Source organism: Homo sapiens, chromosome 17, assembly GCF_000001405.40.
Source record: "Homo sapiens chromosome 17, GRCh38.p14 Primary Assembly".
Taxonomy (NCBI): domain Eukaryota; kingdom Metazoa; phylum Chordata; class Mammalia; order Primates; family Hominidae; genus Homo; species Homo sapiens.
The window spans coordinates 44,899,603-44,918,164 of record NC_000017.11 but is presented as its reverse complement, the minus strand read 5'-3'; the positions used below and the strand labels follow the sequence as shown (position 1 = coordinate 44,918,164).

The window sequence follows — 18,562 nt, the reverse complement described above, 5'->3', positions numbered from 1 at the left end:
GAGACAGAGTTCAGACAAGAGCTTATCCCCAGTCTTCCTTTTCTATTTTGTTTATTTTATTTTATTTTTTTATTTATTGAGACAGAGTCTCTGTCACCCAGGCTGGGGTGCAGTGATGCGACATTGGCTTACTGCAGTCTCCACCTCCTGGGCTCAGGTGATCCTCCCACCTCAGCCTCCCGAATAGCTGGGATCACAGTAGTGCACCACCATACCTGGCTAATTTTTTTGTATTTTTTGTACAGACAAAATTTCACCACATTGCCCAGGCTGGTCTCGAACTCCTGGACTCAAGCGATCCGCCCACCTCAGCCTCCCAAAGTGCTCGGATTACAGGCATGAGCCACTATGCCCAGCCTTGCTCTTCCTTTAAAGCCTCCTGTCCTTCCCCAGGTCCCCAGTTCATAGCAGGATCAAAGGTCACTGGGCGCTCACCCCGTCTTCAAGATGCTCTTTCCTATGTCACTGCTTACGCCCAGGTCAGATGTGACTAGAGCCTAAGGAGCTCCCACCTCCCTCTCTGTGCTGGGACTCACAGAGGGAGACCTCAGGAGGCAGTCTGTCCATCACATGTCCAAATGCAGAGCATACCCTGGGCTGGGCGCAGTGGCGCACAACTGTAATTCCAGCACTTTGGGAGGCTGATGTGGAAGGATCACTTGAGCCCAGAAGTTCTAGACCAGCCTGGGCAACATGGCAAGACCCTATCTCTACAAAAAAAGTTAAAAAATCAGCCACGTGTGGTGACACACACCTGTAGTCCCAGCTATTCAGGAGGCTGAGGTGAGGGGATCACTTAAGGCTGGGAGGTTGAGGCTGCAGTGAGTCGTGGTTGCGCCACTGCACTCCAGCCTGGGCAACAGTGAGACCCTGTCTCAAAAGACAAAAAAAAAAAAAAAAAAAAAAAGAACATATCCTGGTGTGGAGTAGGGGACGCTGCTCTGACAGAGGCTCGGGGGCCTGAGCTGGCTCTGTGAGCTGGGGAGGAGGCAGACAGCCAGGCCTTGTCTGCAAGCAGACCTGGCAGCATTGGGCTGGCCGCCCCCCAGGGCCTCCTCTTCATGCCCAGTGAATGACTCACCTTGGCACAGACACAATGTTCGGGGTGGGCACAGTGCCTGCTTCCCGCCGCACCCCAGCCCCCCTCAAATGCCTTCCGAGAAGCCCATTGAGCAGGGGGCTTGCATTGCACCCCAGCCTGACAGCCTGGCATCTTGGGATAAAAGCAGCACAGCCCCCTAGGGGCTGCCCTTGCTGTGTGGCGCCACCGGCGGTGGAGAACAAGGCTCTATTCAGCCTGTGCCCAGGAAAGGGGATCAGGGGATGCCCAGGCATGGACAGTGGGTGGCAGGGGGGGAGAGGAGGGCTGTCTGCTTCCCAGAAGTCCAAGGACACAAATGGGTGAGGGGACTGGGCAGGGTTCTGACCCTGTGGGACCAGAGTGGAGGGCGTAGATGGACCTGAAGTCTCCAGGGACAACAGGGCCCAGGTCTCAGGCTCCTAGTTGGGCCCAGTGGCTCCAGCGTTTCCAAACCCATCCATCCCCAGAGGTTCTTCCCATCTCTCCAGGCTGATGTGTGGGAACTCGAGGAAATAAATCTCCAGTGGGAGACGGAGGGGTGGCCAGGGAAACGGGGCGCTGCAGGAATAAAGACGAGCCAGCACAGCCAGCTCATGTGTAACGGCTTTGTGGAGCTGTCAAGGCCTGGTCTCTGGGAGAGAGGCACAGGGAGGCCAGACAAGGAAGGGGTGACCTGGAGGGACAGATCCAGGGGCTAAAGTCCTGATAAGGCAAGAGAGTGCCGGCCCCCTCTTGCCCTATCAGGACCTCCACTGCCACATAGAGGCCATGATTGACCCTTAGACAAAGGGCTGGTGTCCAATCCCAGCCCCCAGCCCCAGAACTCCAGGGAATGAATGGGCAGAGAGCAGGAATGTGGGACATCTGTGTTCAAGGGAAGGACTCCAGGAGTCTGCTGGGAATGAGGCCTAGTAGGAAATGAGGTGGCCCTTGAGGGTACAGAACAGGTTCATTCTTCGCCAAATTCCCAGCACCTTGCAGGCACTTACAGCTGAGTGAGATAATGCCTGGGTTATGAAATCAAAAAGTTGGAAAGCAGGTCAGAGGTCATCTGGTACAGCCCTTCCTTCCCTTTTTTTTTTTTTTTTTTGTGAGACAAGGTCTCTCTCTGTTGCCCAGGCTGGAGTGGCGCAAACACAGCTCACTGCAGCCTCAACCTACTGGGCTCAAGCAATCCTCCAGCCTCAGCCTCCCAAAGTGCTGGGATTACAAGCATGAGCCACCCCACTCAGCCCTTTCCTTCCTTTTTAATTGATGCATAATAATTGTAAGTATTCATCATGGTCCAACCAACCCTTTCTTGACCCACCTTCCTAGAGAGAGGGTCCTCTTGCTTCAGCGGTCAGGGCCCCAGACCCATGGTCTGGCTCCAGGTACCACCTGCCTCATGCAGGAGTTGGCGTGCCCAGGAAGCTCTGCCTCTGGGCACAGTGACCTCAGTGGGGTGAGGGGAGCTCTCCCCATAGCTGGGCTGCGGCCCAACCCCACCCCCTCAGGCTATGCCAGGGGGTGTTGCCAGGGGCACCCGGGCATCGCCAGTCTAGCCCACTCCTTCATAAAGCCCTCGCATCCCAGGAGCGAGCAGAGCCAGAGCAGGATGGAGAGGAGACGCATCACCTCCGCTGCTCGCCGCTCCTACGTCTCCTCAGGGGAGATGATGGTGGGGGGCCTGGCTCCTGGCCGCCGTCTGGGTCCTGGCACCCGCCTCTCCCTGGCTCGAATGCCCCCTCCACTCCCGACCCGGGTGGATTTCTCCCTGGCTGGGGCACTCAATGCTGGCTTCAAGGAGACCCGGGCCAGTGAGCGGGCAGAGATGATGGAGCTCAATGACCGCTTTGCCAGCTACATCGAGAAGGTTCGCTTCCTGGAACAGCAAAACAAGGCGCTGGCTGCTGAGCTGAACCAGCTGCGGGCCAAGGAGCCCACCAAGCTGGCAGACGTCTACCAGGCTGAGCTGCGAGAGCTGCGGCTGCGGCTCGATCAACTCACCGCCAACAGCGCCCGGCTGGAGGTTGAGAGGGACAATCTGGCACAGGACCTGGCCACTGTGAGGCAGAAGTGAGGAGGGGATGGGGAAGGGGGGCCTTGTGAGCAGAAGGGGCTGAATCCCCAAGAAGGAGTGCCCGAGAAGTCTCAGGGAGGGGCCGAACCTCCCTGCTCCCTGGGCCTCCCTACCTCTTGATGGGGCACTATCCTTGCCCCCCAACATGATGGGAGGGACCAGAAACAGGCCCAGGGCCCCGGGGATCTGATGCCCGCATGCCTTCTGCCAGGAGTCCAGGGTCCCCTCAGCACCTCCCTACTGGGGAAAGCAGTGCAGGAGCAGCGGGGCCCCTGTGTTTCATTCATGGCTGGGCTTTGTGACTGTGGGCAGCGAGCTCACCTATTCTGAGCCTGTGTCCATATAAAGGAGGAGTTGGAAGCGGAGAAGGTTGATGTCCATGAGGGAGATTGGATTCTGGGGTGAAGAAAGTGAGGGAAAGAGCAGGCAGGTCTGGGCGCAAAGCACAGGTGACTGCCTGCCACCAGCTTGTGACCCCCATCAAGTTACTTTGACTTGCACAGCTGTGAAGCGGTGGTCATAATAAAATTCATTTCAAAAGGTGGTTACCTGGGATCAGAGGAATCCCCAGGGGCATGGCGCTTCACTGAGCTGACAGGACATGCATGTGTGCCTTCAAGTGCAGGAGGACATGTGCGTGTGTGTGTGTGTGTGTGCAACAGTGAGTGTATGCTTGTGGATGCGCCTGTGTGAGCAGAAGCAGGTGCACCAACCCTGATAAGGCACCTTAGTAATGAGTTAAGGCAAAAGCCCACATCTGCTCATCCTCCAGACAAGTCCTCTGTCTAAGGCCCCCCAACCCTTAATCCTCCTGCTGCTCTACTGGTCCTGGGTGGGGGTGGTCTCTGTGACAGCTGCCTCAAGGGAGACTGAGGCAGGTATTCAAGTGTCCTCAGAAGAGCCTGGACCCAGGAATGTGTCCCCCCACTCCAGGCTCCAGGATGAAACCAACCTGAGGCTGGAAGCCGAGAACAACCTGGCTGCCTATAGACAGGTCAGGGAGGTGGAGGGGAGGGGCAGGGGAGGGAGGAAAGGATTGATGGCCACCCACCCAAACACAGCCCCCAAGCTCAGCCCGCCAGAGCAATGTGCTGCTCCCCACTGCCCCAGAAGGAGGGGTAAGGCAAGGCTGAGGAATGGGGAGAAGGAGCCTGGGGCCCCAGTGGCCCTCTACTCCTCACCCCTCCTGCCACTCCAGGAAGCAGATGAAGCCACCCTGGCCCGTCTGGATCTGGAGAGGAAGATTGAGTCGCTGGAGGAGGAGATCCGGTTCTTGAGGAAGATCCACGAGGAGGTGAGGCCAGGGCAGAGGGAGGAAAGCTCAACACAGAGATTGCAACTGAGAGAGGGAGAGACAGAGACAGAGAAGCTGAGACTGAGAGAGACACTCAGAGAGAGGAGAGAAACAGAGATTGGCAGGTAGAGACAGGAAATGAAAGACAAACAGAAAGACACTAAGGGAGACGGAAAGAGACAAGAGAGCATTCGAACTCCTGGCCGAGGGGCAGGCAGAAGAGGACACAATGGCGTGGGGAACCCCAGCTGTGGCCTGTACCCTGAGCCCTGGTACCGCTTCTCTCACCCTGGTCAGGAGGTTCGGGAACTCCAGGAGCAGCTGGCCCGACAGCAGGTCCATGTGGAGCTTGACGTGGCCAAGCCAGACCTCACCGCAGCCCTGAAAGAGATCCGCACGCAGTATGAGGCAATGGCGTCCAGCAACATGCATGAAGCCGAAGAGTGGTACCGCTCCAAGGTAGCCCTGCCTGTGGGCCAGCCTGCCTCCTCCAGGCAGCCCTTCTTGCTCTGTACAAGAGAATGGGGGAAGGAGGGTGGAGGAAGCTGGGAGAATATCCTCTCCAGGTGACTGACTTTCACCAGAGAAGTGAGATGGCTTGCCCAGGGTCACACAGGCACTATTGCTTTCAAAAGTACCCATTATTATTACTGCTACTATTGCTATTATTAGTAGTAGCTGATACTGTTCTGTTCTAAGCCCTGTGCTTTTCATGGATTACCTTACTATGAAGTAGGTGCTGTTCTTTGACAGATGAGAGAGCCGAAGTCCAGAGAGGTTAACTAATTTGCTCAAAGTCACACAGCTCCTAAGTGGTAGAGTTGGATTTCCAACTCTAGCACATCTCACTTGGGAGCCTGCATTCCATGCCTCTGCCAGTCTGTTTTGGGTTACTGAGCCTCTACCATATGCCAGGCACCCCCCAGGACACAGAGAGGTGTCTGACCTGGAAGGTGTGATATTGACGTGCACCCAAACATAGTGCCCGTAGAGAACACCACAGCTCAGAGCTTATATGTAGTGTGGGAGCCAGGAAAGACACTGTAGAGGGGGCATTTGGGCTAGGCAGGACAGGCACGCTGTGGACAGGAAGAGAAGAAGGGAGGGCCATTCCTAGTGGAGGACAGAGCCTGGAGGCAGAAAAGCACAGAGAGGCAGGGCCCCAAGATGCTAGCCTAGCCAGGGCACCTAGCTGAGGAGTGTGAGTGGCAGAAGCCACTGGTGTCTGAGCAGGGTGAGGGCCCGATGGGGCTGGGAGGACCTCCCTGCAGGCAGGGGAGAAAGGGCTATTAGAACCCAGGGTGAGGCCAGGCGAGGTGGCTCACACCTGTAATCCCAGCACTTTGGGAGGCCGAGGCATGCGGATCACCTGAGGTCAGCAGTTCAAGACTAGCCTGGTCAACATGGTGAAACCCCGTCTCTACTAAAAATACAAAATCAGCCGGGTGTAGTGGCGCATGCCTGTAATCCCAGCTACTCAGGTGGCTGGGGCAGGAGAATTGCTTGAACCTGGGAGGCAGAGGTTGCAGTGACCCGGGATTGTGCCACTGACTTCCAACCTGGGCGACAAGAGCAAGACTCTGTCTCAAAATAAAACAAAAAAAACAAAAAAACAAAAACACACAAAACACCCAGGCCTCCGCTCGCCTAAGACGACAGCGTTCAGTCCCGCAGATGCAGCTGTCAGTGTGGAAGGTTCTGGATTCTGTGGCACTGTTCATTCATTCGCTTGCTGACCAGGTGTTGTGCTAGGTGCTGAGGTCTGGCAGCCCGCTACCCTGCCCGCATCCATGGGTCACAGTTGTTGGGAAAAGTCCCAGCCAGGGCCAACGTCCTGGGGTTAACTGGGGTGCTGCTCACCTCCCTGATTTCCCAGAGCCCGTGCCTGCCCATGGGCCCACACAGCCCCCCATATGTGTCCCCCACCTAGTTTGCAGACCTGACAGACGCTGCTGCCCGCAACGCGGAGCTGCTCCGCCAGGCCAAGCACGAAGCCAACGACTACCGGCGCCAGTTGCAGTCCTTGACCTGCGACCTGGAGTCTCTGCGCGGCACGGTGAGCGCGGCCAGGGCAGGACGGGGACGGGCGGAGCAGGGACGGCCACCCCAGGAGATGCCAGGGGAGAAGGGCCAGGGACGAGGACCTGGGTCGAGGGCGGGGCCTGAACGTTACCCCCGGGCTAGAGGCGGGGCCTGGGGCCGGGGGCCGGGCCTCGAAACCTCCCCAAGTCGGGTCGGGGCTCCGCGGGACCGGCCGGCTCCATCCCACAGAACGAGTCCCTGGAGAGGCAGATGCGCGAGCAGGAGGAGCGGCACGTGCGGGAGGCGGCCAGTTATCAGGAGGCGCTGGCGCGGCTGGAGGAAGAGGGGCAGAGCCTCAAGGACGAGATGGCCCGCCACTTGCAGGAGTACCAGGACCTGCTCAATGTCAAGCTGGCCCTGGACATCGAGATCGCCACCTACAGGAAGCTGCTAGAGGGCGAGGAGAACCGGTGAGCCCTCATCACAGCCCCTGGGGAAGTCTCCCTGCTGCCTCACGGTAGAGCTCATCTTGCTCCCTTCAGGGACTGAGTCTTTTTCAGCCTTGTGTGCAGATCCCTTCCCACCTCAATGCCCAGCACAGTGCCTGCCTCACACATAGCAGGCAGTCACTAGATGTTTGATGACTGAATGGATGGATGGATTCAACCAATATTGATTAGGCCTCAAGGCCAAGGACTTGGGTCACCCTCCAAACTAAGAGGCATACTCCCCATCTTCCCAGCCAAGATTGGACTCCTCACCTCACCCATCTCTTCTGCCTCCTTGGAACTTTCTTCACCACTTTCCCCTCCCTTTTCCATCTTCCTTCAGATAGACATGCGCCCCTCCCAGATAACACTCAAGCCCCTTGCAGACGTTTGGAACTCCAGATAGCACGTTGGCTGCTGGGGAAAAAGCTAGGAGATGGAGTTAGACTTTCCTGGCAAGGAAAAGGGCGTTCAAGTTGTCATGATGGCCCCGCACCAAGACCCAGCCTAGGGGTGTCCCAGGCAGCCCGGGCAGCCCTCTCCCTCTGCTTTCTTTCAGGATCACCATTCCCGTGCAGACCTTCTCCAACCTGCAGATTCGAGGTCAGTACAGCAGGGCCTCGTGGGAAGGGCACTGGAGTCCTGCCCCCTCCTCCAGGGCCTGTAGGTTGCTCCAGACTGGGACTGAGGATCAGGGCAAAGGGATCCAGCTCTCCCTGGGGGCCTTCGTGACACTGCAGCGCTCCTAGCCAGAGCCTATCATACCAGGGTACTTCTAGGTGGGGCTTGCAGCTGCCCCTGTCCTGCTAGGCCCTGGTCCCTCTTCCCCTCCCTGCACCCCATTCGACAGCAGAACTGGGTGAGAGCTTGACATCTGCCCTGTCTGCAGATCCCTGAGCAAGCACTGCCCTTCTGAGTGTTTTCTGTTTTTGTTTTTTTAACTGCTTGTCACTACAGGGGGCAAAAGCACCAAAGACGGGGAAAATCACAAGGTCACAAGATATCTCAAAAGCCTCACAATACGAGTTATACCAATACAGGCTCACCAGATTGTAAATGGAACGCCGCCGGCTCGCGGTTAGCTGCCTGCCTCTCAGACACGGCGCTTTGCCCAGCTTGACAGGGAGTGAGCCTCACCCACCCCATCCTCCCAATCCCCCTGAGTTCCCTCTTCCCAGGCTTCCCCTAAAGGGCCTGGACTGCGTCATTTTCCCAGGAACTGCAGTGCCCAGCCCAGGACGTGGTACAGAGTAACTGTACATTAAACTGGCAGAGCTTGTTAGTGGTAAAGGTGGTGAGTCCTTGGGTGCGCAGTGGAGCTGCTCTGGGGCCTCTGAGCAAGCAGCAGCCTCTGTCTCACCTCTTCCTGTCACTGGGAGGGCCCCTTGGGTCTCGCTGTGCCTGGACGCCAGGCTCTCTGCTTTATTCTTTCATCCCTGAGGCTCCATCGCTCAGCTCAGTGCTGACTCAGTTCAGAGGATTCTTCCCTCAGGACCGCAGCTCTTGCAGTGAATAAAGTTTTATGTTCCCTGCTCTTAATGTTAAATATTAGTGAATGTGACGTGTTATATTTTTCTCTCTCGGGCGGGGCGGGGGGAGGGGGGAGCTAAATTACTTTTTACTTGCATTGGCCCTGAAATGATTCTTAGCTAAGGAACAAAATTCCTCTTCTTCTGGACTAGAATATTTAGGACCACTAGATATGCATGTCTCAGGACTTAATTCAGCATCAGAAAGGCTAACCAGGCTGACTAGTAGAGGTAATACTGCCAAATCCTAGATAGTCACAGGTCACTAAAGCACAGATAAATGGCAGAGAGAAGTAGGAAAGAGGAAAGGGGACAGGAAAGGGACCTATGTGTATTGAGCACTAATATGTGCCACATGTTTAACAGCCTTTATTTTAGTTAATTGTCTCCTCTCTCCCACCTAGAGAAGTAGGCCCCATCATCCTTATTTTACAGATGAGGAAACTGAGGCTGGGAGAGGTCAATTAACTTGCCCAGAGTCATGTGGCTGGTTGGTGGCTAAGTTGGGACTTCTTGAGCTCTGGTCTCCTGATCCTTCCTTCCTTCCTTCCTTCTTTTCTTCCTTCCTTCCTTCTTTCCTTCCTTCCTTCGGCAGAGCGTCCCTCTGTCACTCAGGCTGGAATGCAGTAGTGCAATCTTGGCTCACTGCAACCTCCACCTCCCAGGTTCAAGCAATTCTCGTGCCTCAGACTCCCGAGTAAGGGGATTACAGGTGCGAGCCACCACACCTGGCTAATCTTTCTTTTTCTTTCTTTCTTTCTTTCTTCCTTCCTTCCTTCCTTCCTTCCTTTCTCTTTCCTGCTTGCTTGCTTGCTTGCTTGCCTGCTTTCGACGGAGTCTTACTCTGTTGCTCAGGCTGGAGTGCAGTGGCACGATCGCAGCTTACTGCAACCTCCGCCTCCCAGGTTCAAGTGATTCTCCTCTCTCAGCCTCCTGAGTAGCTGGGACTACAGGCACCTGTCACCATGCCTGACTAATTTTTGTATTTTTAGTAGAGACAGGGTTTCACCATATTAGTCAGGCTGGTCTCAAACTCCTGACCTCAGGCGATCCACCTGCCTCGGCCTCCCAAAGTGCTGGGATTACAGGTGTGAGCCACCATGCCTGGCCTATTTTTTGTATTTTTAGTAGAGGTTTCACTATGTTGGCCAGGCTGGTCTCGAACTCCTGGCGTCAGGTGATCCACCTGCCTCAGCCTCCCAAAATGATGGCATTATAGGTGTGAGCCACCGCACCCCTCCTGGTCTCCTGATTTCAATACCGTGCTGGGTTTTCAGAAAGCCAGGTGCCAGGCCAGGGCTTGCAGAGGGGCTGAAATGAAGCCAGGCCAGAAGACAGAGCAGCCAGGACTCTGGCAGCAGCACTATTGGGATTTGGGGGCTCTCCAGCCCGTTTGGAAGAGCCTAGGCTCTCTCTGCTCGGTTGCATAGGTTCTCATACTCATGATGGGGAGGGGGGTGCGATGGGGAAGCCGGGCATGGGAGAGGATGGCTCATGCCCTGAAAGTCCATGAGAGGCCTCCTCTCCCCACATCTGCAGAAACCAGCCTGGACACCAAGTCTGTGTCAGAAGGCCACCTCAAGAGGAACATCGTGGTGAAGACCGTGGAGATGCGGGATGGAGAGGTAAGGAGGGATTTGGGCCCAGTCAGGCTCTGGCTGGCCCCAGGGATTCTCAAGGCCAGGCCATGGAGGAAAGCCTGGGGCTGGCACATAGAAGGTTCCCAGCAACTCCCAGTAGCTCCCCAGGGAATTCTGGAGGAGAGCAAGGAAACTGAATGTAATTCCGTTTCCTCAGTCCCTCCATAGGCTGTTCTAAGGGGAGCCTTGGTACCAAAGCCACTAGATGGGATCCTAATACACACTCTCTCTTTCTCACCCTCAAACTCGGGGGCCTTGCTTGCCAGGGAGAGAAAGAGAATTAAAGTTAGTAGCTTTCACTTCCAACTCTAGCAGACACAGTTGGGGATGGGGAGGGCTTTCCATTTCCAGCTTGGTAAAAGGAAACTACCAGGGGAATGGGAAGAGGGGATTTGGCGTATCCGCCACGCCACTCCAACCACAGTGGGAGCTCATCTTACTCCAGCAGCTTACCACTCGCCAGGCATGACGCTAAATGCTTTCCCAGTGTTATCTCACCACCCCCTCTGTCCACCACGCAAGGCAGCTGTGGTTACTATCAAGAAAAGTAAGACCTGGGAAGTCGGGGACTTCCCAAGGTTACACAGCCTCGTGGTGGTGGACCTGGGGTCTGTGTGAACTCCTAACTGTTGCACTGTGCACGTTCCCTGTCCCCTGCAGGTCATTAAGGAGTCCAAGCAGGAGCACAAGGATGTGATGTGAGGCAGGACCCACCTGGTGGCCTCTGCCCCGTCTCATGAGGGGCCCGAGCAGAAGCAGGATAGTTGCTCCGCCTCTGCTGGCACATTTCCCCAGACCTGAGCTCCCCACCACCCCAGCTGCTCCCCTCCCTCCTCTGTCCCTAGGTCAGCTTGCTGCCCTAGGCTCCGTCAGTATCAGGCCTGCCAGACGGCACCCACCCAGCACCCAGCAACTCCAACTAACAAGAAACTCACCCCCAAGGGGCAGTCTGGAGGGGCATGGCCAGCAGCTTGCGTTAGAATGAGGAGGAAGGAGAGAAGGGGAGGAGGGCGGGGGGCACCTACTACATCGCCCTCCACATCCCTGATTCCTGTTGTTATGGAAACTGTTGCCAGAGATGGAGGTTCTCTCGGAGTATCTGGGAACTGTGCCTTTGAGTTTCCTCAGGCTGCTGGAGGAAAACTGAGACTCAGACAGGAAAGGGAAGGCCCCACAGACAAGGTAGCCCTGGCCAGAGGCTTGTTTTGTCTTTTGGTTTTTATGAGGTGGGATATCCCTATGCTGCCTAGGCTGACCTTGAACTCCTGGGCTCAAGCAGTCTACCCACCTCAGCCTCCTGTGTAGCTGGGATTATAGATTGGAGCCACCATGCCCAGCTCAGAGGGTTGTTCTCCTAGACTGACCCTGATCAGTCTAAGATGGGTGGGGACGTCCTGCCACCTGGGGCAGTCACCTGCCCAGATCCCAGAAGGACCTCCTGAGCGATGACTCAAGTGTCTCAGTCCACCTGAGCTGCCATCCAGGGATGCCATCTGTGGGCACGCTGTGGGCAGGTGGGAGCTTGATTCTCAGCACTTGGGGGATCTGTTGTGTACGTGGAGAGGGATGAGGTGCTGGGAGGGATAGAGGGGGGCTGCCTGGCCCCCAGCTGTGGGTACAGAGAGGTCAAGCCCAGGAGGACTGCCCCGTGCAGACTGGAGGGGACGCTGGTAGAGATGGAGGAGGAGGCAATTGGGATGGCGCTAGGCATACAAGTAGGGGTTGTGGGTGACCAGTTGCACTTGGCCTCTGGATTGTGGGAATTAAGGAAGTGACTCATCCTCTTGAAGATGCTGAAACAGGAGAGAAAGGGGATGTATCCATGGGGGCAGGGCATGACTTTGTCCCATTTCTAAAGGCCTCTTCCTTGCTGTGTCATACCAGGCCGCCCCAGCCTCTGAGCCCCTGGGACTGCTGCTTCTTAACCCCAGTAAGCCACTGCCACACGTCTGACCCTCTCCACCCCATAGTGACCGGCTGCTTTTCCCTAAGCCAAGGGCCTCTTGCGGTCCCTTCTTACTCACACACAAAATGTACCCAGTATTCTAGGTAGTGCCCTATTTTACAATTGTAAAACTGAGGCACGAGCAAAGTGAAGACACTGGCTCATATTCCTGCAGCCTGGAGGCCGGGTGCTCAGGGCTGACACGTCCACCCCAGTGCACCCACTCTGCTTTGACTGAGCAGACTGGTGAGCAGACTGGTGGGATCTGTGCCCAGAGATGGGACTGGGAGGGCCCACTTCAGGGTTCTCCTCTCCCCTCTAAGGCCGAAGAAGGGTCCTTCCCTCTCCCCAAGACTTGGTGTCCTTTCCCTCCACTCCTTCCTGCCACCTGCTGCTGCTGCTGCTGCTAATCTTCAGGGCACTGCTGCTGCCTTTAGTCGCTGAGGAAAAATAAAGACAAATGCTGCGCCCTTCCCCAGAGTGGACTCTGATCTGTTCATGAGAGGGCGGGACTGGGGCCAAGATGTAGCCTTTGACAAGACCAACTCATTTCTTATTACTGATCATCTCTGGGGCCCATGCCCTCACCAAATTCCACCCGCAGCCAAAGAGGACATACACCAGCTCCCTCCACTCTTTTCTTCCTTCCTCTCCCTGCTACCTGCAACTCAACCAGCACAATCTTCATAGGCAAGAAAGCAAAGCAGCTCAAACATGATTCAACACTGATCAGTGTTTACCACTGGATAAATCTGAGTTCACACTTTCCTTCTCTGACCTAAATGTGAAGTCAGGAAACACATGTGCCCTACTTCCATCCTGAGCTCAGTCCCCAATCTCCCACCAGCCTCAGGCCCCTCCACTTCTCAGATCAGGTCCCAGACCTGCCCATGAAAATGGGGAGCAGGCTGTAACAGATTTGTCCACATGTTCCTACCACCTGTCCCAACCCAGGGTACCCACCCAGAGACATCTGGTATCATTTAACAAACACATTGAAGGACAACTGGTCTTCAGAGCTGAAGAGAGCTCCTAGGGGGAGAAGCTGGGACAACAGTGAAATAAGTAGCAGCAGCAACGACAGAAGTGAATGGTGACAAAGACTGCTGTGATGAGCAGGTAGCCTATCAGGGTGAGCTCCACAGCCGAGCGAGTCTCAGGATCTGAGAACGAGGCTGGGTAGTGCCCATGAGATGTCACACCCAGCCGGAAGCCAGCAACTAGCACACCCTGCCTCCAGCAATAGTAGATGCCCCGGTCATCCAGCTGGGTGAAGCGGATGTGGAGCTGGTTGCCGTGGTCAATGAACACCCTCATGGACCTGTTGACACCCTTCAGGTACTGTGTGCGGTAGAGGTGCTGGCGGTCTTTGTCCCAGGCCACTGCATGCTCTGGCCGGGCCCCAGGACAGGAGATGATGAGTCCATGGCCCAGTCTCTGCTGGTGGAACTGAATGGGCACCTGGGGCACCCAGGGCCGGCTGCCCACTTTGGACACATAGTTAATGATGGCCAGCACGCCCTCCCGGATGGTCTTTGTCTTCTCACAGGGTACTAAGCAGCTCCGAACCAGCACCTCAGGCGTGTGGTCCCTGGCCTTGGTCCGCAGCTTCCTTGGCACAGCCCTTGAGCCACAAGACACCACATCGGGCACGGCCTTGAGGTAGCGTGGGGAGAGGTCTGGGCTCTGCAGGTAGCAGAGGCCGATGCGCCACTGCTCCCCACGCACTCCGCAGCGGTCACAGGGGGTCCATTCCCAGAAGGTGGTGAAGACATGGAGGTGCCCATAGTATTCATCTGCAAAGGGCTCCTGGCCCTTGTCCTGGAAAGTGGCCACCATTCCCTCACTGTTCTGGATGTCCACATCGTAGGCGTAAAAGTAGTCCCCCTTGCGGGTGCCGCAGAAGTACAGGCCTGAGTCCTCAGACTGAGCCCTGAAAACCAACAAGCTGAACATGCGGATGCTGAAGCGGGTCAGCATGTCGCTGCCCACACGTACCTGGGCTGCCTCCGTCAGCACCCGCCCATCAAAGTCCGTCAGCACTTTGGTGTGGCTGCTACCTAGGTGCTTTTGGTAGAACCAGACTACAGCTGGCACCTCTTCGGGTTTGCAGTGACAGGGAAGCTCAAAGCTCATGTCGGCCAGGTAGGCTGCATTTTCAAACATCAGGAAAGCAGGGCAGGGGGTCCTCTGAAAAATGTTTTCCTTCTCCACAATTTCAAAGGCCTGGAGCCCCCATGCCCACAGGAGCACAGTGGTGAGGGCCAGGTGCATACCTGAAGGAGGCAGGGGTCAGAGGGGCAGGGCAAAACCAGGGCATTAAAGGCTCATAGGGCTCCTAGAAAGCTCTGCTAAGCGGAAGCCTCTAGATGAGGAAAGGATTATGCAGCCAGGAAAAGCAGCAACAATCTGCAGAGGAAGCCGCCAAGTGCAAGGCAATTTATTCCCAGTGGATGTACAAGATGCCCTTCTAACATTCCAGACCTGATCTCAGGGTGGGGGGGGAAAGCCATTCTAGAACCTGGCCTTTACTCCCCTTTCTAGAACACTGGCGCTCACCCAAGAATGGGTCAAAGGAAACCGGAATGAGAAGGGCGGGCCGAGGTGCTCGGGCAGGGAGATCTCTGCCTCAGTGCTCCAGGCCCTGCCCTGCCAGCCTGGTGGAAAAGTCTTTCATCAACCTGGGGGATGAAGGAAACCCACCCTCCTGCATATCTGGCCATCCGGGAGGCTGGCTGGACCTGAGCTGATGGCTTGGGACTTTCCCAGGCCCAACCTGCACAAGAACTGAGTCTCTAGGGGAAAATTCAACACCTCAAATGATGTAGTATTTGATCATTTGTTGATTACATGTCCATTCATTGGTTTGGGGCTATAAACATTCTTGTTAAGAGCTGTGGAGATCAGTGTTTGTTTACCATAAAGATTTTGCTTTTTCCCTTTTATGAGTGGAGGCTGTAACTGGTATAGCCAGCATTTGGTTGGGCACACACTCATCTCTCAAGGCCAGTGGGCTAGAGGCTTGGCAGACTCTAAGGGTGGGAAACAAAACCGCTCTCAACTTCCTGAGCTCTTGACTGTCCATGGATACACACAGTTCAAAACAGCGAGACACTGAGGGACTGGAGAAGTGGGGAAGACTTGATTCCTGTTTTTGCTCTGAAAATTCCAAGTTGAGAAGGGAACCAGGTGTGGGTTTCTTATTATGGTCCTGCAGAACCCCCAAGACAACAACCAAAAAACTGCCTCCAGTGACCACTGGGACCTCTGAGGGTAGCTTGCCGCATCAGTCAACCTGGTACAGCTCCAGCAGCTCCTGCAGGAGCCTCTCCTCCTCCTGGAGCCCACCAGACTGCTCCTCCAGACCCTGCTCCTCCCAGCTGAGCCCCTCCTTCACGGATCTGGGGTTGCCCATGGCTTGCAGCTTCTGAAACAAGCCCTTGCAGCTCTCTCTCTCTGCCCGGCTCAGCAGGCTTAGGTTCAGGGTGAAGCGCCCAGTGCTCGCCAGGCTGCATAGGATCCCCAGCACCGCTGCCCGGTCAGCCGGCCCCACGTGATCAGCCAGTGCCACCAGCAGCTCCCCAAGAAGTCCAAATCCCACATCTGTCTGGAAGAGGCAGCCGAGCCTTGGACCCCCAAGCTGCAGTAGAGCCTGGTAGCGCTCTGGCCCACTTGGCAAGTGTCGTCGCCAATCACGATAGAAGTCAGCAGACGTCTCGGGCTGGAGGGGGGCTTTCTCCTGGACCACAAAGGAAGGAAAGGGAGTCAGGAGCTCTTCCAGCTGTTCTGCAACAGTGACAGGGAGGGGAGCCTGTAGCTCTTCATCTTACTGTCTTCATCTCACTACTGTCTGAGCACTGGGAAAGCTGTGGTCCTTGGCGGCCTCATTTTCAGATGAGGAAACTGGGGATGAAACAGGGAGGGCCCCAAGGAATCCACGCCATGATTTGAGATTCTCATTTATACTGGAATTTTCCTACTCATGAATGGAGACATAGCTCTGGTCTTCAAGAGTAAGTCAGGGTTTACTGTAAGTCGGGTGGATGGGTTGATTGGAAATCTCAGGAAGAGAGAAAGGAACTCAAGGATCTGAATGTTGGGGTCTCTCTCTCAACACTGCCACAGGATCATTACACTAGACACCATACAACCCAGAGGCAGAGCATCCCAATTCTGATCTGAGAATGAAAGTCAAAGGACTAAGGGAAGCCGACCTTCCTAGCCCAACTTTCTGACTCATTCTGCCCACTTCAACTCAGCTTTGCCATCTGCTGTTTGTTTTTCTTTCTGGGATTGGAGGCAGAAACCTATCTCTGTTGGTTTAACATGACAAATAAAGAAGAGGTATGTGTGGTTAAAAAAACAAAACAAAACAAAACAAAATGAAAAAACAGGATTGAAGCTTTAGGGCAGAGAATCCTGCTGGACTAAAGGGGCAGGGCCTCACCTACCGGGGAGATTTCAGTGGCCACATCCTGGAAGGTCCTTCCCTGAATAGTGTGACAGTTCCAGGGCACAGTTCTCTTTCCTCCCATCTTATCCTTCCGCTCCAGTGGCTTCAGATGTGATGCAAGGACAATACCCCTGTAGGCAAAGGACAGAAATTAGGCAATGGACTTAATGCTGTGTCTGTGGGTGTGAGGCAGCTAGACTTTGCATGGTATAGGATAAACCTGTTACGGACCAATATGACCATAATAATAACAACAGCGATAGCTGACTGCTTTCAAGCACCTCACATGTGTCAGACACTTGCTCAGTCTTATGTGCAAGAACTCATTTAATTATAACAGTTACTGTTCTACAGATAAATAATTGAGACTCAGAGAAGTTAAGGAAATTGCATAAGATCAAACAGTAGACGGTGGGGCCAGGACTGAAGCCCAGAATGGTTTGATTTCAGAGTTAACTACTATAATCCACCATAACAGGAGGGCCTGAGAAAAATGGCAGTGAGCCAACCTGAACTCCTCATAGGAAGCCACCCTCTGTTCCACTGCCCGTAACTTGGCAGCATTCTCCCGTTTGTACTTCTCATCAGCAGTGAGTGCAGCCTGCAGCTCTTTCTCCAAAGCCTTGAAGTTGATGATGTCATTCCTTTCCATGGCCTGTGCCTGGGAAGGCAAAGGGAATACATGTCAGTGGACAGTCAATATCAGGGGAAAGAGGGTACCTCTGAATTATTCACCAGAACACAAAATGACCCCAAAGCACTCTGGACATCATGTCACTCAGATTGGGAGGTGTTACAAAAATCTGGTTTTCTATTTTACAAAGACAAGTTGAATTTCACAGTGAGGACTTACACAAGACTTGTCCCTGAAAATAGAATACAGAGTCCTGACTTTCAATTTGGAGTTCTGTCTTAATTTTGCTCTTTGCCTCTAAAAATATTTTTAATTTTGGTGCTTCAGTCGAGGAGGCATTGGGATCTCAGAATTCAGTTTCTTCACTCTTCCCCCATAGGATTGTTCTACAGCAAGTCGTTTCGACAGGGGACCTCACACAAAGGCAGAACTCTTGTTAGTTACCCTTGAGCTCGGGGATAAAGTTTCATTCTTCATTGAATGTCTTTAATGAGGAAGGAGACTTTCACCCAAACCAGATGCAATGACTGAGCAGGAAATCAAGTAGAAGGGGCAAAGGAAGGAGCTCAATGACCCCATCCCCAAATCCCTCTGTCCAGCCCAGGGCTGGAACAGAGGTCCCTAGGTACCTGGGCAATGCCTTTAGTTCTATCACTGTACTTCTGTAGTTTCTGCATATCTGAGGCTGACTGATCATTTCTACAGAGATATTCTTTTCTTTTTTTTTTTTTCTGGCTCTGTTGCCCAGGCTGGAGTGCAGTGGCGCGATCTTGGCTCATTGCAACCTCTGCCTCCGGGGTTCAAGCAATTTTCGATCCTGACCTCAAGTAATCCGCGCGCCTCGGCCTCCCAAAGTGCTGGGATTACAGGCGTGAGCCACTGCAGAGAGATTCTCTACGTGGGTTCTAGTCGTGGCTCTGGCATTTACTTGTGGGACCTCTCTGAACTGCAAACTCCTAGTGAGTTGAGCTAGATTTTGTGGCGGGGTCATCACCAACAGCCCTAGCGCAAGGAAGCAGGAAGTCCCCAACCAATCCCATAGCCACCCTACCCCAACGTAGGGAATCTGAACGCCAAGAAGGGGCTGGGGTGGCCAGTAACCGAAATCAGGTGTCCAGTTCTCAGCCCTCCCCAGGCATTTAATACATAGAACTAACCCTTCCGTCCCCTTACTCAGCCTCCCGGACCTTCACCCCAGCAGTCCCGGCCTTGGTCCCCTTGCTTTCTTTGGGGATCCCCTGATAAACCAGAACAGGAGGGCAACCCCGCGCAGACCACGCCCGCAGCTGTGGTTGCCTAGCAACTGCGCTAACAGCCTGACCACGTGATCTGCCCGAAGGCCCCTCCCCCCATTTTCAGGGTGGTCCCGAGGCGCCTGATCAGATTCGTTCATCCTCAGCTCTCACCCTCTTTG

General features: G+C 54.8%; 3 protein-coding genes across 11 annotated transcripts, besides 2 other annotated features; 1 reads left to right on the top strand and 2 right to left on the bottom strand.

The window, feature by feature from the left end:
- GFAP (glial fibrillary acidic protein) lies at positions 2,665-15,006 on the top strand. Of its 4 annotated transcripts, NM_001363846.2 has the most exons (10): positions 2,665-3,139; positions 4,077-4,137; positions 4,342-4,437; positions 4,735-4,896; positions 6,368-6,493; positions 6,709-6,929; positions 7,507-7,550; positions 7,905-8,024; positions 10,016-10,101; positions 10,777-12,539. In NM_001363846.2, the coding sequence occupies exons 1-10, from the start codon at positions 2,679-2,681 to the stop codon at positions 10,816-10,818; spliced, it is 1,419 nt and encodes a 472-aa protein (NP_001350775.1). In that variant the 5' UTR covers positions 2,665-2,678; the 3' UTR covers positions 10,819-12,539. The 4 variants fall into 4 exon arrangements, with proteins under 4 accessions (NP_001350775.1, NP_002046.1, NP_001124491.1 ...); NM_002055.5 differs by lacking the exon at positions 7,905-8,024 and having other exon boundaries at positions 10,777-15,006; NM_001131019.3 differs by lacking the exons at positions 10,016-10,101; positions 10,777-12,539 and having other exon boundaries at positions 7,905-8,493.
- Positions 6,590-6,659: a silencer, noted in NCBI's record as "silent region_8603". NCBI's record gives its function as "represses an Ori minimal core promoter by ATAC-STARR-seq in GM12878 lymphoblastoid cells {active_cell/tissue: GM12878}" and the evidence as "EXISTENCE:reporter gene assay evidence [ECO:0000049][PMID:35858748]".
- Positions 6,870-6,979: an enhancer, noted in NCBI's record as "active region_12266". NCBI's record gives its function as "activates an Ori minimal core promoter by ATAC-STARR-seq in GM12878 lymphoblastoid cells {active_cell/tissue: GM12878}" and the evidence as "EXISTENCE:reporter gene assay evidence [ECO:0000049][PMID:35858748]".
- On the bottom strand, positions 12,775-14,732 carry FAM187A (family with sequence similarity 187 member A). Its single transcript, NM_001258400.2, has one exon. The coding sequence runs from the start codon at positions 14,333-14,335 to the stop codon at positions 13,094-13,096; it is 1,242 nt and encodes a 413-aa protein (NP_001245329.1). The 5' UTR covers positions 14,336-14,732; the 3' UTR covers positions 12,775-13,093.
- On the bottom strand, positions 12,775-18,436 carry DNAAF19 (dynein axonemal assembly factor 19). Of its 6 annotated transcripts, none has more exons than NM_001258399.2 (4): positions 18,306-18,436; positions 17,024-17,175; positions 16,509-16,645; positions 12,775-15,800 (listed from the first exon to the last, which is right to left on the bottom strand). In NM_001258399.2, the coding sequence occupies exons 2-4, from the start codon at positions 17,164-17,166 to the stop codon at positions 15,766-15,768; spliced, it is 315 nt and encodes a 104-aa protein (NP_001245328.1). In that variant the 5' UTR covers positions 17,167-17,175; positions 18,306-18,436; the 3' UTR covers positions 12,775-15,765. The 6 variants fall into 6 exon arrangements, with proteins under 6 accessions (NP_001245328.1, NP_001245326.1, NP_998772.1 ...); NM_001258397.3 differs by having other exon boundaries at positions 12,775-15,847; positions 16,513-16,645; NM_213607.3 differs by having other exon boundaries at positions 16,513-16,645.

Coding starts and splice junctions, on each gene's coding strand:
- GFAP (NM_001363846.2), top strand. CDS start 2,679: ATGGAGAGGAGACGCATCACCTCCGCTGCTCGCCGCTCCTACGTCTCC. Junction 4,138..4,341: donor ACCTGGCTGCCTATAGACAG/GTCAGGGAGGTG, acceptor CTGCCACTCCAG/GAAGCAGATGAAGCCACCCT. Junction 7,551..7,904: donor CTCCAACCTGCAGATTCGAG/GTCAGTACAGCA, acceptor TTGTCACTACAG/GGGGCAAAAGCACCAAAGAC.
- FAM187A (NM_001258400.2), bottom strand. CDS start 14,335: ATGCACCTGGCCCTCACCACTGTGCTCCTGTGGGCATGGGGGCTCCAG.
- DNAAF19 (NM_213607.3), bottom strand. CDS start 17,166: ATGGAAAGGAATGACATCATCAACTTCAAGGCTTTGGAGAAAGAGCTG. Junction 16,646..17,023: donor GCTTCCTATGAGGAGTTCAG/GTTGGCTCACTG, acceptor CTTTGCCTACAG/GGGTATTGTCCTTGCATCAC. Junction 15,801..16,512: donor TGGCCACTGAAATCTCCCCG/GTAGGTGAGGCC, acceptor TTTGTGGTCCAG/GAGAAAGCCCCCCTCCAGCC.